The 22792-nt window shown below is 50.7% G+C and overlaps 1 protein-coding gene and 1 non-coding gene across 2 annotated transcripts in view, besides 6 other annotated features; both read left to right on the forward strand.

Moving 5' to 3' along the window:
- Positions 346 to 715: a silencer, noted in NCBI's record as "silent region_3709". NCBI's record gives its function as "represses an Ori minimal core promoter by ATAC-STARR-seq in GM12878 lymphoblastoid cells {active_cell/tissue: GM12878}" and the evidence as "EXISTENCE:reporter gene assay evidence [ECO:0000049][PMID:35858748]".
- Positions 617 to 22792, forward strand: part of NADSYN1 (NAD synthetase 1) — a 48614-nt gene continuing 26438 nt past the window's right edge. The window contains exons 1-9 of the mRNA NM_018161.5: positions 617 to 795; positions 2524 to 2584; positions 5842 to 5958; positions 10846 to 10899; positions 11467 to 11556; positions 19863 to 19914; positions 20692 to 20780; positions 20983 to 21100; positions 21809 to 21940. Coding sequence (NP_060631.2) covers positions 711 to 795; positions 2524 to 2584; positions 5842 to 5958; positions 10846 to 10899; positions 11467 to 11556; positions 19863 to 19914; positions 20692 to 20780; positions 20983 to 21100; positions 21809 to 21940 — 798 coding nt within the window. The 5' untranslated portion in view covers positions 617 to 710. The remainder of the gene's footprint in view (positions 796 to 2523; positions 2585 to 5841; positions 5959 to 10845; positions 10900 to 11466; positions 11557 to 19862; positions 19915 to 20691; positions 20781 to 20982; positions 21101 to 21808; positions 21941 to 22792) is intronic.
- Positions 773 to 1274: an enhancer, noted in NCBI's record as "H3K4me1 hESC enhancer chr11:71164405-71164906 (GRCh37/hg19 assembly coordinates)". NCBI's record gives its function as "activates a minimal SCP1, AML or CMV promoter by ChIP-STARR-seq in primed H9 embryonic stem cells {active_cell/tissue: H9 hESC(primed)}" and the evidence as "EXISTENCE:reporter gene assay evidence [ECO:0000049][PMID:30033119]".
- Positions 1275 to 1774: an enhancer, noted in NCBI's record as "H3K4me1 hESC enhancer chr11:71164907-71165406 (GRCh37/hg19 assembly coordinates)". NCBI's record gives its function as "activates a minimal SCP1, AML or CMV promoter by ChIP-STARR-seq in primed H9 embryonic stem cells {active_cell/tissue: H9 hESC(primed)}" and the evidence as "EXISTENCE:reporter gene assay evidence [ECO:0000049][PMID:30033119]".
- Positions 5594 to 5774: a silencer, noted in NCBI's record as "fragment chr11:71169226-71169406 (GRCh37/hg19 assembly coordinates)". NCBI's record gives its function as "represses an EF-1alpha promoter that drives an FKBP-Casp9 reporter gene in an ReSE screen in HepG2 liver carcinoma cells and K562 erythroleukemia cells {active_cell/tissue: HepG2 | K562}" and the evidence as "EXISTENCE:reporter gene assay evidence [ECO:0000049][PMID:32094911]".
- Positions 19741 to 20648: an enhancer, noted in NCBI's record as "H3K4me1 hESC enhancer chr11:71183373-71184280 (GRCh37/hg19 assembly coordinates)". NCBI's record gives its function as "activates a minimal SCP1, AML or CMV promoter by ChIP-STARR-seq in naive H9 embryonic stem cells {active_cell/tissue: H9 hESC(naive)}" and the evidence as "EXISTENCE:reporter gene assay evidence [ECO:0000049][PMID:30033119]".
- Positions 20649 to 21555: an enhancer, noted in NCBI's record as "H3K4me1 hESC enhancer chr11:71184281-71185187 (GRCh37/hg19 assembly coordinates)". NCBI's record gives its function as "activates a minimal SCP1, AML or CMV promoter by ChIP-STARR-seq in naive H9 embryonic stem cells {active_cell/tissue: H9 hESC(naive)}" and the evidence as "EXISTENCE:reporter gene assay evidence [ECO:0000049][PMID:30033119]".
- MIR6754 (microRNA 6754) lies at positions 20917 to 20982 on the forward strand. The gene has a single exon (NR_106812.1). It is a non-coding gene; the product is annotated as a microRNA 6754 (primary transcript).

The raw sequence follows: 22792 nt of genomic DNA on the forward strand, positions 1-22792 counted from the left end.
GAACGTATCTCATATTACAGGGGAAAAAATCAAGTTGCAGAAGCACATTCAAGTGCAGTTCCTGTAGTTTCAGAAAAGGCAAACAGTGCGCTACCTGAGCTACTTACACACGTGGTACAGGAGTGAAAGGGGCAGGAGAGGGTTCCCAAGAATTCAGCGCCATCCGCCCAGGGTGGCGGGATTCCCAGCACGGAGAATCGATTGCTATCGTCTGCTGTCCCGCGGGCACGATGGAGCGCTCCTACCGTACTCTCCACTTTTGGTGTATTTGGAACGTTTCATGCCGTATTAAAATAAAACATGGCTAAGCTGGATGTGGGGTGGCGGTGTGGGATAAAATAGAGGGGTGCTGCAGCTGGGCGGTGAGCCCCCTGCACCTGTGCACCTGAACGGGTTTGCCCGCAAGGGCCGGGCCGGGGCCGGGGCCTGGGACGTGGGTGGAGCCGGGGCGGGGGCGGGGCCCTTCGCGGTGCCGTGAACGCTGAGGCCACCTCGCTGCGCAGGCGCGGTCGTGAGCTCCTCAGACGGGGCGGGGCGATCCGTAGGCAGGGCCTGACGCCGCAGTCCTCCTTGGCCGGAGCCTCAACGGATGGGCGGGGAGGGGGCGGGGCCGGGCAACCCGGAAGGTCCGGCGTCCCAGCCGCCTACCTCGCTGGGACCCTGGTCTTGCTGTCCCCCGCTGGCCTCCTGCCCAAGCGACTGCGGCCAGGATGGGCCGGAAGGTGACCGTGGCCACCTGCGCACTCAACCAGTGGGCCCTGGACTTCGAGGGCAATTTGCAAAGAATTTTAAAGAGTGAGTCTGGGGCGGCGGGGGCACCGGTTTGGGGTGGCGCACGGGCACCGTGGCTGGGCCCAGGCTTGCCCGTGGCGTGCTCACAGCCTTGCCCTGGGAAACTCTCGGCCCTGGGCATGGGATCAGGTGAGATAATGGGCAATGACCCCGCCAGTGGTACGTGCTCAGGTCCTCGTCGGGAAGTGAGTGTTTATAGTTCCCGGGGACGAGCGATATACAAGGCACGGTTAAGAAAAGTCTGGCGGCTTAGGCGGGAGGCCTGGGGATGGACCCGTGTTCTGATATCTCTGGGGTCCCGTGGTTGGGACTGAGCTGCCCATTCTCGGAGATATCTAAGTTGAACAGAATGGCTGCGCACTGGCGGGGATGGTGTGCAGAGGCCAGAGATTGATGGTCTCTGGTCCCCGTGGGCCTTCCTGGTGGGAGAAGGCGTCCCAGAAAGGGAAGTAGAAAAAGACGCCTGTCATCCCAGCATTTTGGGGGGGCCGGAGGGGGTGGAAGTCACCTGAGGTCAGGAGTTCAAGACCAGCCTGGCCATCATGGTGAAACACCGTCTCTACTAAAAATACAAAAATCAGCCGGGCGTGGTGGCCTCGAAGATAGGGTGTGGTTGTTGAAAGGTCACCATCTAATTTTCGTTCATATGGACGCACCGTGGAGGATGAAAAGTTAAACTATTACACCTGCACCTAAATGGGCAAGCCTGCAGGTGTAGTCAGGTTGCAGCTTGTCTTGCACTGGTCTGCTGACTGCAAGAGCCTTTGCCAGGAACAATAGAAACAGAATGTTTCAAGAGATGGCATCTAATCAGTATGTGCCCTGGATTATTATTATGATTATTATTATTTGACATGGACTGTCACTCTGTTGCCCTGGCTGGAGTGCAGTGGTGTCATCTTGGCTCACTGCAGTCTCTGCCTCCTGGGCTCAAGCGATTCTCCTGCCTCAGCCTCCTGAGTAGCTGGGATTACAGGCGTCTGCCACCATGCATGGCCAATTTCTGTATTTTTAGTAGAGACAAGGTTTCACCATGGTGGCCATGCTGGCCTCGAACTCCTGACCTCAAGTGATCCACCTGCCTTGGCCTCCCAAAGTGCTGGGATTCCAGGCATGAGCCACCGCAGCCAGTGGTTTTTTATTTTTATTTTTTAAATATCAACCTGCTTTCACCTCATTTGCTCAGAGCAAATCTAGTTGAACTGAAGAAGGCTTGGCCAAAACTAAGTTTCCACTCTGCCAGCCTCTCCTCCCTAGGTGCTTGTTGGAAGCTGCTGCCCAAGACCAGTAAGCCGATGGTGCCTGACAGTGGCACCACTGCTGGATCGTAATCCTCTAAGTCCTTTTTCCTCTAGATGGTGTTGGGCATTTCCTTGTTAATAAACTACCAGGGTCTGACTTCTTCCTCTTCCTCCGCCTCCTCCATGGTGCTAAGGGTCAGACCTGCAAGCCCTCCCTGTTTCTCATTTCCTGCAGATATAAGCAGGTATATGCAAGTATAAGCAGGTGCAGGCGTACTCGTGTATACAGGTGTATACAGGTGTATGCTGCCCTCTGCTGCCATGCTGTCAACAGGAAGCCTGACTGCATCCCGTCTGGGAAGGCACAGAGCATTTTTGTTTGTTGTTTGTTTTTTTTTTTATCCTACCTACTGCAGCAGGTTGTTTCATCTGTCTTTGAGTGTATAGGTGCTGAAATTGCTCCATTTTCTTTTTCTCTCTGTACTTACAGGTATTGAAATTGCCAAAAACAGAGGAGCAAGATACAGGCTTGGACCAGAGCTGGAAATATGGTGAGAACAGACACAGACACCCTGGGGTCGTCAGCTAGCGATACCAGCATCAGTTTTCCCCAGCTGAGAAGGCAAGGAAGGAGCAGGGACAGTCCTGAGAGCTGTGGACACGCCACACCCACTGTTGGGCCTGGTTAATGCCATTGAACACCTGAGCAAGGGCAGGCCCAGGGAGGCTGAATAAGTCTAGATTCCCATGTTGAGTAATTAAAAGAACTGACTTTTACCAGATGAAGGCCAGTTTCAAAGTTGGGCTGCTTCTGTGTTACCACTGCCCTTTTGCTGTGGTCTGAATGTTTGCGTCCCCACAAAATTCATATGTTGAAACCTAACCCCCAGATGATGGAATTAAGAGATGAGGCCTTTGGCAGGTGATTGGGTCATGAGGGCATGAGAGTGGAGCCTGCATGAATGGGATTAGTGCTCTTACAAGAGAGGCCCAAAGGAGCTTGTTGGCCCCTTCTACCATGTGAGGACACAGAGAAGGAGACAACCAGTCCTTACCAGATACCAAATCTGCCAGCACCTTGATCGTGGGCTTCCCAGCCTCCAGAACTGTGAGCAATACATTTCTGCTGTTTATTAATTACCCAGTCCAAGGTGTTTTGTTATAGCAGGCTGAAGGACCAAGACATATTCCCAGGTTTTCATTCCGTGATCTCAGAATCTTTCCACAAGCAAGCATAGGTTATCGTTTCTTATATGCCTTTTTGTAAAAATCAGGAAAACTGATTGCTTATTTCCCTTCTTGTCCCTTCAAAAACAAAAACAAAAATGAAAACAAAACAATGAGTAGCCACGTTGTAAGTCTCTTGTAAGCGATAGTCCTTTCTCATTTTGGATGTCAGCTGCCATCTGTGCTCTGCTAGTTTCCCGTTGGTCTTTAGGCCTCTGACCCGTTGTGGGATCTGGAAGTTCCTCTTCAGTCTTTGTCCCCTGCCTTAGTGTGTGTTCTTGCTTCTGGACTTAGAGTAAGCAGGAACTGTCTTCTCTTAGGAGGTTTTGTGTGAGTCCAGAGGCATCTTTCTCTAAGTCCTTCCAAGTTTCTTTCCTTCATTAGATTGATTTCTCTCCTTAGAATACCACCTTCAAATAGGGCTGTTTCTCCCATAATATCCAAGAATGTTTACTTTGTTCTTTAATTTGTCTTCATTTGATTGATTCTTTAAGAAATTCTTCACCTAAGTGCCAAGGGATCTAGGGTTCTGGGCTGTCTGATATCACAAAGCTTCGATCCTCTCCTGGCCCCGTGGCCGGATCTTCTCCTGGGCTGGACTCAAGGCCTGATCGTCTCGTGAGCCTGACCTCTCCTGGGCTGGTCCGGGGGCCTGATCCTCATGTCCTGTCTGCTGCTTGCCCTGGAGGAGCTGCAGTGGTGACAGCCCAGTCCCCCTGGCCTGATGTTGCCCAGATGCTTAGAGTTTACGTCTTCTTTTCTTTCTTCGTCCTAGTCTCTCTCTCCTATAAATGTTACATCCACCTCTCTCTTTCCTCCAAATATGGACCTGTTTCATTTTAAAAGTGGGAGGATGTCTAACTAAAGGCCCCCGGGATGGAATATTTGCATCCAGCAGGGACAGGGGCCCAGCTGAGCAGGTCTCCAAGTAGCTTACAACCTGCTGAGCAGGCTCCTGTGAAATATTCCAACAACTTACAGAGAGGAAACCGAGGCAGGAGAGGAGGGACATCACTTCACTGAGCACACCGCCTCTTGTTCTTACTGGTTAGAGGTCCAGCACCTGATACACAGGGAGGGCCCAGTGGCCCTAGAGCAGGCTGACTCATGGACCAGAGACCCTCTCACCTAGAAAAGTCAGCAGTTTCCTTTGAGCTGGTGCTGGAAGCTTTGGAAAGGGAAGGCTACCACCCAAATGGCCCCAGGACCAGCTCCTGCTGCTGACTCACCGAAGGGGTGAGAGGCCTCTGGTCGCTGGATGCCATGCAGCGGGACGTGTGGTGTTATAACGTTATTTGGTTTCACATGTGGGCCAGGACGCCAACAGGGCATGAAAACCCATGAAACGGATCCGTTGGAGGAGAAAGGACATCTCAGAACTCCATTCCCTACTGGGACATCTCCTGGATGCCTTTTCTATCTGAGAACTGGGCTTTTCCTCTTAGCAGAGCCAAGGCAGAGAGCAATGCTTTCCCAGATACTGAAAGTCACAATTGCTGGTTTTGGGGTTTATGCAGGTGTGTGCGAGGTTTGCTGGGCATTTGAAGTGTGCCTTCCAGGCTGATGTGTAGTAGAAAGGAGAACTTCTTGAAGAGTTATAAGTGTTCTACAGATACTCTATATTTTATTATGGGAACCCCAATACTAAGAAACCCAGCCTTCGCATTTAATGACACCACAGATTATTGAATTAATTCCTGTGGCTGCCGAAACAGATAGAAACAAACTAGAGGCTTAAAGCAACAGAAATGTATTCTCTCACAGTTCAGGAAGCCGGAAGTCCAAAATCAGGATGGCAGCAGCGTCTGGCTCCCTCCGAAGGCTCTTGGGGAGGGTCCCTCGTGCCTTTCCCAGCTCCTGGTGGTTCCAGGTGCTCCTTGGCTTGTGGCCTCATTGCTCCCATCTCTGCCTCCGTCCTCATGTTGCCTCCTGTTCTCCCTGTCTCTCCTCTCCTTTCTCTTACAAGGACACTTGTCATTGGATTTAGGCCCCCCTGCAAAAGCCAGGGTGATCTCATCTTGGGATACTTAATTTAGTTACATCAGCAGACTCTTCTTCTAAAATAAGGTCACCTTCGCAGGTTTCTAAGGTGGGGTGTGGACGGACCTTTTTGGGGTTCATCATTCAGCCGACTACAAGCATCTGTAGCAAGAAACACAGGGGCAGCTTTGTGGGTGGTTTTTCTGAATGGTTATTAGTGATCTTCTTTGCCAAAGAATGGATTTCTGTGGGTCCAGCTTTGTTTCTTTGAGGTTCTTCTCTTGTAGATCAGTGTCATTTGGGCCACATTAACAGTTACAAGGAAACCCAAGGGCGGGCACTTCCTGATAGAGAGAGAGTTTTTGTAGTAACTTAAAACTCAGAGAGAGGAGCAGGGGCCGTGCTCTTCGCTTTCAGTACGGCACATCTGGCTGCGGCAGTGGGTCTTATGCTGGCTGCTCATTGGAATCACCTGGAAGGCTTTGAGAAAACACCTGAGCCCCGGCCCCCAGACACGTTCAGACTGGACTGGCCCACAGGCCCTGCCCCTCCCCGCTCACCTGAGTTGTTTCTGGAGCTCACCTTCTCACTGTCTCTGCAGCGGCTACGGATGTTGGGATCATTATTACGAGTCGGACACCCTCTTGCACTCGTTTCAAGTCCTAGCGGCCCTTGTGGAGTCTCCCGTCACTCAGGACATCATCTGCGACGTGGGGATGTAAGTGCCAGTGTGAGTGTGGAAGGGCAAACCTGGGACAAAGGCAAGCTCAAGGGCATGACCCACCCAACCGGCCTCCATCCAGGGTGTGGAACATCCATGTGTCCAGGGATACGAAAGGCCTTATGCTTGAAAAGTGGGTTTTGTTCCTATCTCAGCCCCGTAAGCCACCTCATTTCCCCTGCAAGGAGGGAGCTCCTGAAAGCAGGATGTGTCAGTTCTTCCAGAAAGTCCTGTGCACACATCAGCAGACTCTGCACAAAGGGGAATGCAGCATTCACCCCACCCCGTGCAGAGAGCTTGACTCACATCACAGGGAGCCCTGGGGCTCATTCCATGTCCACATGTTGCCACACGGTTCCCATGTCCTAGGCTGCATATGTGTAGCTCCACAAGGAAGGCCTCTGCATGCTCCATGCTGGTGTCTGTGCTGTACCCTGCATCGCCGGTCCTTATGGAGGCCTCTGCACACGCTGTGCTGGTGTCTGTGCTGTACCCTGCATAGCCGGTCCCTATGGAGGCCTCTGCACGCTCTGTGCTGGTGTCTGTGCTGTACCCTGCATAGCTGGTCCCTATGGAGGCCTCTGCACACGCTGTGCTGGTGTCTGTGCTGTACCCTGCATAGCCAGTCCCTGTGGAGGCCTTTGTGTGTGCTGTGCTGGTGTCTGTGCGGTCCCTGCATAGCCGCCCCTATGGAGGCCTCTGCATGAGCTGTGCTGTGCCCTGCATAGCTGGTCCCTATGGAGGCCTCTGTGTGCGCTGTGCTGGCGTCTGTGCTGTCCCTGCATAGCCGGTCCCCTATGGAGGCCTCTGCTCACGCTGTGCTGGTGTCTGTGCTGTCCCTGCTTAGCCACCCCTATGGAGGCCTCTGTGTGTGCTGTGCTGGTGTCTGTGCTGTCCCTGCATAGCCGGTCCCCTATGGAGGCCTCTGCACGTGCTGTGCTGGTATCTGAGCCCTGCTTTGAATAGCCGGCTCCCTATGGAGGATGCTGTGCTGGAGTCTGTGCTGCGCACTCTGCATAGCCGTCCCCTATGGAGGCCTCTGCACATGTTCTGCTGGTGTCTGCTGCGCTCTGCATTGCCATCCCCTGTCACTGAACCTCGCATCGAGTCCTTTACGTCTCCTTCAGCCCCGCCTCATCCGGCATGGACGTGGCACCTTGGCTCGCTTCTTCCTTGGCATCTGCCTGGCACATATTCTCCTGCCACTCGCGTGCGACCCTCACCGTGACATTTGTGGACTGGGGCCTCTTCTAAGCAGCACATGGATGGGAATTTTAGTGCCCTGTTCACACGGATGATGCTAATTGGTCCTGTGGACTCTCTTAGTTTCCTTTTGCCGCTCTGATGAATTTCCATGGACACAAAACACACAAGCAACACCAGTCTTTTATCTAATGGTTCTGAAGGTCGGAGGTCAAGGGGTCAGGGGTCAGCAGCAAGCCTGGTTCCTTCCGGAGACACTCCAGGAGGATCTGCGTCCCTGCCTTCTCTAGCTTCCCTGGCCTGTGGCCCCTCCCAGCTGTGATGTCACCCCGACCCCCACGTCTGTTGTCGCAGTCCTCCTCTGACCCTCCCTTTTATGGGGACCCTTGCTGGCTGGCCCAGATTGTCCAGAATCATCTCCCATCTCAAGGCCTGTCACCTCATCACCCCTGCAGCGCCTCAGGTAACATAACACAGTCACAGGCTCCAGCAGTTAGGATGGGGACATCTTTGAGGGGCTGAGAGTCAGACGACCACAAGGACTTACTCTAGTCACTTCACCAAGTTTTCTATTCATTAGGTTTTCTTTTTTTTGTTTGTTTTTGTTTTTGTTTGTTTGAGACAGATTCTCACTCTGTTGTCCAGGCTGGAGTGCCATGGTGCCATCCTGGCTCACTGCAGCCTCGACCTCCTGGGCTTGAGTGATCCGTCCATCTCAGCCTCCTGAGTACCCGGGACTACAGGTGCACACCAGTACACCTGGCTAATTTTATTTTTTATTTTTCATAGAGACAGGGTCTCGCTATGTTGCCCAGGCTGGTTCTTTTTGGGTTTTGCCTTTTGTTGGTTCATTTTTGCTCAAACTTTTCCCCTGCTGACTTTGAATTTATCATCCTCTTTTCATTTTTCTACTTTTTACACTTAAATTTGTAACCATCATATTTGAAGGTATTTTTTCTTTTGAAATCTAGCATTTTTCTGGATTGGAGGCTCCATTGAACAAAACAAGAGTTTTATCATAATGTCATTGATAACTTCCATCCTGCATCGTTTCTTCAAACGGTCCTCAAGGAAGAGGGTGCTGAGTTGGGTCCCCGCCCTCTGTGGTTGGTGGTGCACCATCCTTAGTTCTGCTCCACAAGGGTTTGCCTTTATAAGCAAAATAAAGAAACAGAGTGGTGAATAGTTTTTTAAAAACGACTGTCTTATTTATTTGCTTTGCTCACTTACTGAGTTGAACTTTTTTTTGTTTGTTGGTGATTTATAACACTCTTCAATAGTTACCTGGTTTTTTGCCTACAACTGTTTTTGTCTCTTTTAATTTGAGTCCTTTATATGCGAAACATGTCAGTCCATTCCCACGTAAGGTAAAAATCCTTTTCCTGGTGCGTTGTTCGGTGTGTGACTTTGTTTTATGTGTTCAGTGGTAAAATGGTCACGTAGTGAAAGCGCCGCCCTGATCTGCTTTAGTTTGTTTCTGAGTTTGTTCTAGTGGCTTACTCCACTTAGAGATCAGATATTCACGGAGGGCCCGTATTTTATTTAAAACATCTATTTCTCTCACACTCTGGGCACACTTTGTCTAAGTGAGAACAAGTTTGTGTTCGTCAGGCATCTTCCATGGCAAGAACAGGAGCAAGAGAGAGAGGGGCGAGGTGCTACACACTTTTTTATTTATTTTTATTTATTTCTTTTTGAGACAGAGTCTCACTCTGTCGCACAGGCTGGAGTGCAGCGGTGCGATCTCGGCTCACTGCAACCTCTGCCACCCGGGTTCAAGCGATTCTCCTGCCTCAGCCTCCCAAGTAGCTGGGACTACAGGCATGCACCACCACACCCAGCTAATTTTTGTATTTTTAGTAGAGATGGGGTTTCATCATATTGGTCAAGCTGGTCTTGAACTCCTGACCTTGTGATCCGCCTGCCTCAGCCTCCCAAAGTGCTGGGATTACAGGCATGAGCCACAGCACCCAGTCGCTACACACTATTAAAACGACCAGATCTCATGAGAACCCACTCACTCACTGTCAGGAGAACAGCACGGAGGGGACAGTGCCAACCCATTCATAAGAACTCCGCCCCCACCAGGCCCCACCTCCAATGCTGGGGATTACAGTAGGACATGAGATTTGGTGGGGACCTGAATCCAGAACACATCGGAGAGGAATAGAAGCCATGATGGAGTGAGTCGCTTGTGGTGGCCGCAGCCAGGACCGGGGCAGGCAGTGGTGCCCCTGCATGCATCTTGCCCTTTCATCCCCATTTTTGGGAGGAAGAATCAAGGCTGATGTCAACCAGAAATAAAATTCTAAGGCCCTCCCAACCTTTTGAATGAACCGCTTCTCTCAGAGGGGCCCTCCAAGGTTAACCTGAAAGACGGGTTCAGGCCATGACTGGGAGTGGGGGGTGATCGGGGGTCGGACAGGCCTCATTTACCCTCCTCCCTTTTGGAAAAGCCGACCAGCATGAGCATCAACACAGACCTTAAGTCTCATAAGAAACATTTACAGTCTGTTCTCTCTGAAGCCTGCTACTTGGAGGTTTCATTTACATCATAAAACTTTGGTCTCCACAACCCGCTATCATAACCCAGACATTCCTTTCTATTGATAATAACTCTTTCAACCAATTGCCAGTCAGAACTGTTTAAATCCACCTATGGCCTGGAAGCCCGTCCCTGGCCCCCTCGAGTTGGTCCTGCCTTTCCAGTTCGAGCAGTGCCCATCTTGTATGTATTGAGTGACGTCTTCTGTCTCCCTGAAATGTGTACAAGCAGGCTGTGCCCTGACCACCGCAGGCACGTGTAGTTAGGACCCCCTCGGGCTGTGTCAGGAGTGCATCCTTCACCTGGGCAAAATAAATGTTCTAAATGGACTGAGACCTGTCTCAGATACTTTTGGGTTCACACCGGTTACTTAGCCAGTGGCAAGGCTGGAATTGGAACTCCACACCATCCACATTTGGTTTTTCTTCCCCTGAAACACTTTTGCTGTCGGGTCACACCTCTGGCAGGCGCCTGTGCTTTTCTTCGACACTGTGTCCTCTCAGTGCCCCTATGAGGGTCATCTTCCCCTTGTGCTGCCCTGATCTGGCCCAAACCTCCTGTCGGGTCACTCTGGTCCCCACTCGAGTGCCCCCAGCCAGGCCGCCCTCTCCTGCTATGGTCCCCTTATCTGCAGGGGGAGATGATAGGGTGTTGGCGAGGTGATGGGAGCGTGAAGCCAAGACCCAGTCCCGAGAAAGGGCCAGCCCGGAGCAGCAAATGGAGGGGTTCCACCTGTCCCAGGTGGTGGGTGGAAATGAGCTCAGGGCGGACAGGTGCTGAAAAGTGGATGCCTCAGGTTAGCATAAGGCAATTTGGAAGGGGAAGGGGAGGAGGCAACAGAGGCTGGAACATTCCAGGAGGAGAGGGAAGAACCCTGTGGTGGAATGAATTTGCCCTTCATTGAGAAGAAGCTCCTCTAGGCTTAGAGTCGGTGCTGCCTGGGTGGCAGAACCATCTCGGCTCCTTTTAGCTTTGATTTGAGGGTGCCACAGAAGAGCCTTGCAGTTCTCCGAAGGGATCGGAGGAAGCTTCGTAGTAAAGTAAAATGCATGATTCCAGAGCTGCAGCCGCTGCCTCCATGTGCTCTGTGTTTCATAACCGGGCAGACACACATGTACCTCCCCTCTCTCCTGCAGGCCTGTAATGCACCGAAACGTCCGCTACAACTGCAGAGTGATATTCCTCAACAGGTAGGCCCCCTGCCCCCACCCCGGGAGGGTGACTGGGGCCTCTCCCTGGCTCTCAGCTGAGGGCTGCCAGGACCCGTGCTGGTGCCCTGGGGACCCGTTGCTGGGAGGCTGCTTCTGGAAGTGCCCGGGCTTAGTGAGGGCCGATGCACCAGGCAGGTGATCCGGGTGCCTTTGCTTTTCTGGGTCTCAGCCACCACCGAGACAGGCATCATCAGGTATCAGAAGGAGAGAGACGCAGAGGGTGGGGGTGTGGGGACACAGGTCCTTGTGGCCTGGAAGCCAGTCCAGGTGAGCAAGTTCCCTTGGAGCGCCTGGTCACCAGCTGCTGGGGAGGCGCACACCTTCTGGGGCTTAGCTGCTTCATCGTTGACGGTCACGAATGGATGCAGCCATGGGGACCCGAGTCATAGAAAGCGGAAGCCCAGAGAAGGAGAGAGATTTGCTCGGGGCCCCATTCTCAAGCTGACTCTGCATGGCATCACCTCGTCACTTGGTGGCACTGACCACCGCCAGTGGCACGTTCATCTCAGGAGCCCGGTGTGCACAGCCCTGTTCCCCTGTCTGCAGGAAGATCCTGCTCATCAGACCCAAGATGGCCTTGGCCAATGAAGGCAACTACCGCGAGCTGCGCTGGTTCACCCCGTGGTCGAGGAGTCGGTGAGTCGGGTGCCTGACCACTCCTGGGATGTGCGTTAAGCACCTCCGCTGTGTGTAGCCTTGGGTCCTGATCATGGGAGTGTTACCGGTGGAGGGTGTCCAGGTTTTTGACATTTTGAACAAAGAATGGGACAAAAAGCACAAAGAAAGCCAAAAAAGAATGAAGCAACCAAAGGAGAGAGTGATTGAAAATGAAAGCCCCCTCCACAGGGTGGGAGCAGCCCCGGCAGGGGCTCAGGGCGCGGTTACACAATGTCCCGGGGTTTAAATATCCTCTAGAGGCTTCCCATCGGTTACTTGGTGTGAGCCCCATGTAAATGAAGAGGCTGAAGTGGAGTTACAAAGTTATTTACTTGGTGTACACACTATGCAAATAAAAAGGGTGTTTCCTGTCTGAAGTAGTTACAAAGTTATTTACTTGGTCTTAGAAAGCTGGGGTTTTGGGCTGGGCACGGTGGCTCACGCCTGTAATCCCAGCACTTTGGGAGGCCGAGGTGGGCGGATCACGATGTCAGGAGATCGAGACCATCCTGGCTAACACGGTGAAACCCCATCTCTACTAAAAATACAAAAAATTAGCTGGGCGTGGTGGTGGGCACCTGTAGTCCCAGCTACTCGGGAGGCTGAGGCAGGAGAATGGCATGAACCCAGGAGGCAAGAGCTTGCAGTGAGCCGAGATTGCGCCACTGCACTCCAGCCTGAGCAACAGAGCGAGACTCTGTCTCAAAAAAAAAAAAAAAAAAAAAAAAAAGAGCGGGGTTTTTCTGTTTGATTTAGTTCTAGGAAGTGCTTAGGTTCCCTGCCCCCAGACCCTATTCTACCTCAGCAGTGTCACAGATATCGACTAGCTGGGGCCAATGGTGCAGGCAGTAAAGGAATTTACCAAGACAGTTGTAGGTAAAGAGAGGCAGATTTATTAGAGAAGGTATGAAAGTATGTTACAATATCGCAACAGGCAGCACAGCAGAGAAGGGGCTGTCTGCAGAGAGGCAGGGGCTGGAGGGAAGTTTTATAGCATTGTGCTGGAGGGGGCTACATTGGGGATGAGGTAGAACTGCGGGGGCCACTGCGGAAGGAGGTCATTGTGCCTGTGTAGGACATTGTGCCCTCAGAACAACTGTTCATTGTTCTCCACATCTGGGGCCCCATACTCATTGCTTCCTTATCTGATCAGGCCTCTGCAAGTAGAAGATGCACAGAAACATGGACTAGGGTCTCCATCCCCTGGTGCCAGTCCCTTATATGCCTGATTTGATGCTGCTGATTAAATTGTAGCCATGTTCAGCGCAGATCACATGGAACTCTCAGTCATCAATCAGGGATATCAGTCATGTTAGGTGAAGTGCCACTTCCATCTTGAATGATACTGAATTTCCATCTTCACCCGGTTGACATTTGGGTCATTCTTTGTCATGGGGCGTCGGCCATGTGCATCCTCAGGCATTTACTGGCATAGCTGGTCTCCCCACAGATGCTCCCAGTTGTGACAACCAAAAATGTCCCCAGACATTACCAGATGTCCCCTGGGGGGTAAAATGCCCCGGTTGAGAAATTCTACTCTCCATTTTTATTACAGTTATTTCTGTTTTTTATTGTTGTTATTGTAAATGGACTCTTTAATATTATATTTTTAAGTGGTTAATTTTTTATATAGGAAAACTTGATTTTTATGTTGCTTTTGTAATTGACTACCTCATTAAATTCTCCTATTGTGTCTGTTGGTTAGTCTGTTGATTTTTGTAGTTTTTCTTTTAAGTTGAACTTATATAATATACAATGAATTTTCCTTTTCCTTTCCAGTATTTGCACCTCTTGGTTCATTTTCTTAACTTTTGTTGGCCAGCATTTCTAGAACAATGTTCTAGATCATTTCTGGAGCAAAATTCTTTGCTAATGGGCAATTTCGTCTTTTTCCTGACTTTCCTTGGAAAGCTCTTCATGTTTCTGCATTTGATTTGGGGCTTATATCTATCTCTAGCTAGTCTTACTTCAGGTTTTTAAAAATTGAGAATGGATGTTGAGTTTATCCCATGTCTTTTTAGCATATGTTGAGGTGAAGATAAAGTAAATCTTTGCTTTCTAATGTCTCCAGAAAAAAAAAGCGCCATCTTTTGATCTCCTAGGCTGAGCACCTACACTCAGCCACTTGGACTTTCACTTAACATGCCCCCATCCTCAGCCTCTAGACCTCAAGACCACCCCTTTCCCTGTCCCCTGTCTCCCAGGCCTAGTGTTCTGGTGCCCAGGGTCTGTCTGGTGCACTCTGGTTCCCAGTGGGATGATGTGCTGGGCCTGGGAGGTGGTCCAGGTATCGTTTGCTTCTGGCTCTGCCTCACCCCGCCCTCTAGAGCCTGGTGCTGCCAGACACGGGCTGCAAGATCTCCGTGGGTGGATGGCTTTGCTTCTCATGGCCACTCTCTTCTGCAGGCTCCAAGGCTGTAATTTCACTCTCTCTGCCAGCAGAGGTGGAGAGATGTCTGTTGCTGCTCCCTCGCGGTTCACTTTCTGTCTTGCAGGTGGAATCGTTGCCCGCTCTTGTCTGCCACTCACTCCTTTGCTGCTTTGCCATTTCTGACTCCAGGGCAGTTCCAGAACCGGAATGACCCTCATAACTGAAGCCATTAGTATGTCGGATACAATATGTATGCATTTATGTCTCATTTTCAAATGTGCACCACTGAGCTGGCAGGAAAGTACAGAATACATTGAGCCTAAAAACAGTGAAACTGGAGACCCTGGGACCCTGGGCGCAAAGCTGGCTTTTGCCCCAAGGGTTTCCTACGCCTGGAGACCTTGAGTTTTATTGTTGATAACTTCATGGAACTGGAGGTGGGGGGGTGGGCAGGAGATCCAATAGGAGACACCTCTGAATGCTGTAGCTACAGATGGCTCACACTAAAACCGTGACTGAGACATAAGTCCACTGCACAGAGAGGGAAGGCTGAACACATGCCTCCCTCAATCTGGTGCTTGGTGGAGGGGGAGAGATGTTGCCTAGAAATTGACAGCCTTTGTGCTGGAAACCTCCCTACCTGTGTAGTATAAGACTCAGGAGAATAAGTTAATTCCATGTGGACCCAAGATGAGTTCAGGAAGTGTCCAGTCTCCAGGCAATAGACCTTCCAGAAGTTACTGTAGCACCCGCAGGCGCTGGGCACAGGCAAACAGACGTCTCTCTGGAGAAATTCACCTTCAATCCAGGCTGCTCCGAATTTCTAGACGTGACATTTAAGGAAAATGAGAAGCTCAGAGTCCAGTCATAAAACATACAAGGAAATAAGGCACAATGAGTCAGAACCAGCAAAAAAAATACAGTAGACGCAGATGTGAAAGCTCAACACAGAATAGAAGATAAGTGTTCCTAATACACTGAAGTAAATTGATGAGAAGCTCAAAAGGTAAGAAGCAGCCAATCAGAATTAGAAAAAGAGCCAAATAATAATGTGAATGAATAACAAGTAAGTTAAACATAGTTGAATAGAGAGGTATGGAACTGAAAGATAGACCTCTCCCTGCAATTATCCAGAATTTAAGCCTTAAAGAAAATCTGATGAAAACCTAAGAGACATTAAGAAACATGAGAAAAGGGTGAAAGTGGATAACAAGGGTGGAATTCTTGTCTCAGAAGGAGATAATGGAGGTTATAGAGAAGAGGCGGTATTTGAAAGAAAATGGAAACATCCATAAGATGTTTAAAAGATGCTGTTCTCAGATACACTAACTGCAACAGATCTCAACAGGATAAACAAATAGAAATTCACATCTAGAAACATTCTTGTGAAACCGCAGAACACTAAAGACACAGAGAAATTCTCAAAAGTAGCCAAAAGGGAAAAAGACAAATTGCCCGCAGAGATTCAGCAGCTAGAGCAACTCCTGCTTCGTAGTGGTGAAGCCTGGAGCCAGGAGACGGTGGCTGGAAAAAATCCGAGGAGAGAGTCACCGGCAGCCAGGAGTGTTAGAATCAGTAAATGCATCCTTTAAGAACAAGGACAAAATCAAGACATTTTCACACAAGCAAAAACAGTTTTTTATCATTAAAAGACTCATTAGTGGAAATTCTGAACATGTACGTTAGGCAGAAGGAAAATCATCCTAGCAGAAGCCTCGAAATTTCAAAAGGATTGGTGAAAAAGGATATTGATAAATTTGTGGATACGTGTCAACAAATGGGACTGTATGAAACATAATGTCTAGTGTGTAGTAAAAAGTAGGCCAGCCCTAAATCACTGCATAGCTGTGCGTGTAAATTAGGGCAATGCTCTGTAGGAGGGTAAAGATAAAGATACTGATCAATTTTTGACTTTAGTTGAGAGACACAGAAAATTTCTAGGGTAGCCACTAAAAGAAAAGATATAGAACATATGATTGTCAAAATAGCAGGCAGAAGAAAAGAAGACTAAAAAGGAAAAAATGAAATAATTCCAAATAAAGCATAAATGGAAGTGAGTTCTTTAAAAGTCCAGTAGAAAAAGTAGGACTCAGAGATAGCACATAAGACAGAATAAATCTGTCAGTAGTCACTACAAATAAAAATGGATACAATAATTTGATTAAAAGACAGAGGTCATTATTCTGGATTAAATGAAAATCCAGGAATAGGCTGAAACCATATTGTAATTAACAATACATTTTGGCAAGTTTGCTGGATGATAAAACCAACCAAAAGCCAGGTTCATTTCATTTACCAGCAACATTCAGTCAGAACATGTAACTTTAAGAAAGATACCATTTATGACAGCAGGAAAAGTGCTTATGGCTAACTATAACCAGAGATGTGTAAGCCCTGTATGGGAAAAAATGATAAAATTTTATGGGAGGGCATTATTGACTACTGAGCTAAATGGAGATTGCCTGTGTGTGTGAAAAGGAAGGCACAGTGTGAAAAGCATTCATCTCCCCTAAGTTGATCTGTGGATTCAGTGTAGTTTCCATAAGAATCTGAACAGGAAATTCAATAAACTGGCTCTAATATTTCCATGGAAGAGCAAAAGGCCACAAATAGCTAAGATACTCATGAAGACCAAACGAAAGGCCAGGTGTGGTGGCTCATGCCTGTAATCCCAGCACTTTGGGAGGCCAAAGTGGTCAGAAGTTCAGGATTCGAGACCAGCTCAGAAGTTCGAGACCAGCCTGGGCAACGTGGTGAAACCCCCTCTCTACCAAAGAAAATACAAAAATCAGCTGGGCGTTGTGGTGTGCACCTGTGGTCCTAGCTGCCAGGACCAGCTTGGTTGTGGAGACCCTAATCCCGCAGCACTAGAGGAATTAAAGACACACACAGAGAAATGTAGAGTGTGGAGTGGGAATCAGGGGGCTGACAACCTTCAGAGCTGAGAGCCATGAACAGAGTTTTACCCACATATTTATTGACAGCAAGCCAGTGATAAGCATTGTTTCTTTAGATTATAGATTAAAACGGGAAACAAAGGGATGGGCTCTGGCTAGTTATCTGCAGCAGGAACATGTCCTTAAGGCACAGATCACTCATGCTATTGTTTGTGGTTCAGGAACGCCTTAAGTGGTTTTCCGCCCTGGGTGGGCCAGGTGTTTGTTGCCCTCATTCTGGGAAGCCAACAACCTTCAGCATGGGCGTCATAGCCATCACGAGCATGTCACAGTGCTGCAGAGATTTTGTTTATAGATCTGGGGGCCTGTTCCCAACACCAGCTACCTGGGATGCTGAAGTGGGAGGATCACTTGAGCCCATGAGGTTGAGCCTGCAGCAAACTGTGATTGTGCCACTACTCTCTAGCCCAGAAGACAGAACAAGAGCCTGTCTCAGAAAAAAAAAAAAAAAAAGACGTGTGTTAGTCCGTTTTCATGCTGCTGATAAAGACATACCCAAGACTGGGTAATTTGTAAAGAAAAAGAACTTTAATAAACTCACAGTTCCATGTGGCTGGGGAGGCCTCACAATCACGGCAGAAGGCGAAAGCCATGTCTTACATAGCGGCAGACAAGAGAGAATGAGAGCCAAGCAAAAAGGGAAACCCATTGTAAAAGCATCAAATCTCCTAAGGCTTACTGCCATGAGAACAGTATGGGGGAACCTGCCCCATGATTCAATTATCTCCCACCGGGTCCCTCCCACAACATGTGGGAATTACAGGAGCTATGATTCAAGATGAGATTTGGGTGGGGACACAGCCAGACCATATCAGCGCACCTGGGTGCATGAGTGATCTGTGCCTTAAGGACATGTTCCTGTGTTGAAGTACAAAGATAGGCAAGATTTGATGCGGGGAGCACTTCCAAGGAGAGAGCAGCGCACGCTGGGGGCTCGGAGGTCCAGGCGATGCTCTGCTCCTTCACCTGGGTACTGTGTGCACTGGGCTTATTTTAATATCCTTTAATTACACATGTGTGCCTTGGTACTCTTTTGCATAATATATTTTGCAATAAAATTAATCCATAAAGGAAGTCTGTGGCCAAACAGATTTTAGCATTTCTGCAGGAGCCAGCTTTTCCTGCTTAGGTGCCGTGGGATGTCTCTATTACTCCTGAGGTTCAGTAGCTCCAGCAAATGGCTTGGGGATTCTCCTTATTTTTTATGATACCTGTAAGGTTTTTTGACTCCACATTCAGGTCTTCTTATTTCAGGAAAGTTTACCTATTTTCTGCTTCCAAAGGCTTTCGTTCTTTTGCTTCTGTTCTGTTCTTCAGGAACCTCGATGGCTGGCAAGTGACATGTCTGTGTCTGCCTGCCTTATCTTTCATCTTCTTTCTAACCATCACTGTCTTCGTTTATTTGTATTTTTTTTCTGGCAGTTTCATTCCCCTGAATTTGTCTTCTCTGCAGTGCTCTTCACAGGGCTCTATCCTGTGCTTTGTTTTCTTATCTGCAAGTATTTTAAGACTTCAAATTCTTTTCTTAGTTGTAAACTTATCTCCTGTCATTTATTTGTGCTTTTGTTGAGAAATTTTATCAGTTGATGTTGTCTTTAGGATTTCAGAGCATAAGTGTGGGGCTCCTGTTCCTTCTTCCCCGTTCGTCTCATGAACGCCTCGGTGTCAGGTGTCACACTGGGCCCTCTGGGATGGTATTCCTTTCATCCCCGTGGAAGAGGTGGCAGGAAGGTGAGGCTGGAGCCCACCAGAAGCAACTGTACATTTTGGTTCACTTAGAGAAAGCTGAGGTTTCTAATCCTCTGGGAGCTGTGCCGAATGATGACAAGAAATGGTCATGTTCAGCATGCCCCTGCTTTAGTAAAGAGTACTTGGCAGGCTCAAGGAGCCATTCCAGGTTCCAGGTCCTCTTAGGAAAACATAACTAAGGCCTGGTCCTTGCCTGCAGAGAGCCATCCTCAAGGTGTGCGCTGGCTGTGGAGCACAGCTGCAGTGAGGAGCAAGGCCGGGTACATGCCTGTCCCGCTGGGTCTTTGTTCCGGTGTCCAGGGTGTCTTTGCATGAGTCGAGGGAAAGGTGCAGATGAAGGGAGAGATGTTTGGACGGTTCCTGCATTTAAAATGCATTTCGGTGCAGCAGCATCGCCGTCAACAGGCTACAGAGGGTGAATGGAGTGCTCAATATGGGATGGCGAGGCAGCCTGCAGTTCTGTAGGATATCTTCCTGTCCCCGTTCCCTACGTGAATGAGGGGGAAAGACATCATTGACTCAGTTTCTCAACCTTTAACATTTCTTAAGTAGAGAGAACTACTAAAACCATGCCCAGAAGGCTCCTGGGAATTCTAAGAAAGCAAAAAGGAAACGGAGTTCCTTGCAGATCTGAGTGGTGCATCTCGTAACAGCCTATTGGAAGTCAAATGCGTGAACTGTCTGTTTTGAAGATTCCGCCTCTTGGTGGAGCTTCTTGGGACACCTTGCACTAAAGTTGGTATTAAACCCTCCTCCTGATTTCTCGAATTGAGAGCATCATTTTATTCCAGGGATGATACTGGTTTGTCATTGTGTTTCGGGTTAATGCCACACGATTTTTCTGATTCAGTAACAGCGATCAGGAATTCCACCTGGATTTCTCCATGAGGCAACGTGGCCAGTTCTCAGCAAATCCCCTGTGACACATCTCTCAGTAAAGATGAACATGAGCGTGTGGGGAAACTGAGGCAGCCCGAAGCTCGGAGAGCCCAGCCCACCACCATGTCACATAGTCTCCTCAAGCCACCTTCATACTCTTTTCTTTTTACCTGAATGCGATTGTTTATTGCATTGGGGGGAACGCTTGGCAGTTCCTTTGCCAGTTCATCAGTTCGGAGGGTTCAGTTTGAGTTTTGTTTAAATGTAGCCGCCATTCCTCATTTGTCCTGAGATGCTCATCCTCAGCTCCTCGGTGTTTTCCTCTCCAGGCACACAGAGGAGTACTTTCTGCCTCGGATGATACAGGACCTGACAAAGCAGGTGAGTCCCTGGGTGTGGAGCCCGTTTTTCAGTCGGTTGTCGCTGTTCTCGGCCAACAGTGGACCAGGTGGGGCGGGAACGCTTTGGGATCCAGGTAATGGAAGGCACCACAGTGCTCACAGGTCTGAAACAGACAAAGGAGGCAGGTTCCTATAGTGAGGGGGGCTGCGTGGCCAGACAGCAGCCAGGGTGGCTCCTCCTTGCCTTGGGGCTGCTTTTCCTCCCTTCCCCCACTCACACTGGCTTCCTCCTCTTCATTTCCTCCTTGTGGCAGAAGACAGCCTTCTCCATCCCCAGGGGCTATGTTCTGACATTTAAGTGTTATCTAGACCAACAGCAAAATGCCCTACTCTCAATTTTGAATTCTAAGGGAAGGCACCCTGGTGTCCCCTCTCAGCCACTGCCTTGTGGCTGGGAGTGGGGGCCTAGCTTCATCAGCACAGGGCAGCAGCTGCTTCAGTGTGATCACAGGACAGGGTCGCTTCAGAAGCTGCTGGCCCCAATTGGCAGCCCCATCGATGTCCGTGACATTCTGCCCCTTGGCTGCTCAGAGTACAGGCGTCCCCTTCTTCCACACATAGGCTCCTAAGGGCGTCTCTGCCTGGCACCACCCGGTGTCCCATGCGCAGCCGCAGGGCACCCACCTCTTCGGAATGTGCGAGAGCCCAGAGCCAACTCCAGCTCTTGTGGCTGCAGGATGTCCGTGGCCCTAGGTAGTGCGTGGCCCAGACAGGGCATGGCTAGTGAATCTCATGCACTCTTCTCTTCCGACTGCAGGAAACCGTACCCTTCGGAGATGCGGTGCTGGTGACATGGGACACCTGCATTGGAAGTGAGATCTGTGAGGAGCTCTGGACACCCCACAGGTCAGCCCCATGCCCCTGTGCTGTCTGATCGCCCACCTCATATGGGCCAGCTGGGAGGACCTGGGACTGCAGACGTCCTGGGGCCGTGGCCGTGGCCGTGGCCGTGGGCTGGGAGCTGCCGTGGGAGAGTGCAAGGGGCTGCCAGGGAGGCTGGTTTGGAGGAGTCTGGTGGCCTGTTCTCTTCACCTGCCTCTGCCTGCAGCCCGCACATCGACATGGGCCTGGATGGCGTGGAGATCATCACCAACGCCTCGGGCAGCCACCAAGTGCTGCGCAAAGCCAACACCAGGGTGGATCTCGTGACTATGGTCACCAGCAAGGTAGGGGCTGGGCCAGGGAGCGTGCGCCACAGGGCAGACACTGTATCTCAAGAACTCCTGCATCCTCAGTGCCCATCGCAGGGCTGGGCCCACACACAATGGATGTTCCAGGCTAGTAATTATGGCCTGGACTCAACAAGTGTGCCCTGCTGCCCTCCAGGGCTTCGCCGGCACAGCCCATCTCACCCACGCAGCCACCCTATGAAGCAACCCTGTCACCCTCTCTGCCATGACCAGGAACCGGAACGTGCTCCTTGTTCGTTGGCATCATGGTGAGGCGTAGGGAACACCCGTACGTTTGCTGCTCCTGCTGTTGGGCAGTGAGACGTGCGAGGGGCAGTGCTGGTTCATCCTTCACGGGGCAGATGTGGGTCTAGCTGAGCCGCGTTTGAGTCTTGGCTTCATCATGCAGAGCTTTCTTTGGCTTGTCTGAACCTCATCATGCCTGAGGGAGGTGATGGGGTCTGCCTTGTAGGGTTGTTGTGAAGGAAAAACAAATGTTTTGTGTAGAGCCTGGCACCTAGCAAGGCGGGGCTCGCCGCAGCTTCACAGGTCTGTGCTTCCCCACACATATGCGTTATCTCTGCGGTGGTGGGACCACTCAGGATGACCTAGCGGGACTCGGCGGAGGTTCCTGTACTTGGGCAGGTGGCAGGTGAGGGTGGTGGACACAGCTGACCACTCCGCTATGGGGTCCTCCTTTTTCAGAACGGTGGGATTTACTTGCTGGCCAACCAGAAGGGTTGTGACGGGGACCGCCTGTACTACGACGGCTGTGCCATGATTGCCATGAACGGAAGCGTCTTTGCTCAAGGATCCCAGTTTTCTCTGGATGACGTGGTAATGAGCGGGCCTGGACATGCCTGGGGGAGGGTTCTCTGTGCAGAGACCGAGCTCCTGGCTCTCCCCTGTAAGCCGGGTGCTTAGTGAGGGCCCCTGTGGAGAAGCCCCCGGGGGTCCCGCCTGCTCCTGGCTCTCCCCTGTAAGCCGGGCGCTTAGTGAGGGCCCCTGTGGAGAAGCCCCCGGGGGTCCCGCCTGCTCCTGGCTCTCCCCTGTAAGCCGGGTGCTTAGTGAGGGCCCCTGTGGAGAAGCCCCCAGGGGTCCCGCCTGCTCTGATGGCCTCAAATTTACCTGGTTGGTGAGGGGGGACCTCCCGCCCTCGGGTCTGGAGACAGCTGAACCCCGACACACAGCACATAGTAGTGGACGGATGAGGTTGAGGGCAGCTTACGAGTCCTGCGTTCCCACAGTGCGGGAGGAGGGCTCCGTGCCACGCAGGGCCAGGTGGGAGTGTGCTCAGGAACAGAGGGGACGGCCCCCGCTGTGGGAGGCGGGCTCTGTGGTGATGAGAGGATGGGTGCCGCCTGGCCCCTGCGGGTGGGTGTCGTTGGTTTGTTTGAATTCCGAGGGCTGGCAGGGAACCAAAGCCACTCCTTTGAAATTAGCAGGCTCCATGGCCCCTGAGACAGGTCCAGGGATCCCATGTATGGTGAGGCCGTTCAAGGCCCTGTCTGTCTTCCTTGGGTGTTGAGGCCACATATACTCATCTGAGGCCTTATGCCACGCTGCCCCTGAGTCCTGGGAAGCAGAAGTGGAGACCCCAGGACACTCTGGTCAGGGAGGCTTTGTTCTGTGGGGATCTCTGAGCACACAGCGGCCAGCTGCGTGAGGGAGGGCCCTGGGGGAGCTGTG

The sequence above is a fragment of the Homo sapiens genome, chromosome 11, assembly GCF_000001405.40.
Source record: "Homo sapiens chromosome 11, GRCh38.p14 Primary Assembly".
NCBI lineage: Eukaryota > Metazoa > Chordata > Mammalia > Primates > Hominidae > Homo > Homo sapiens.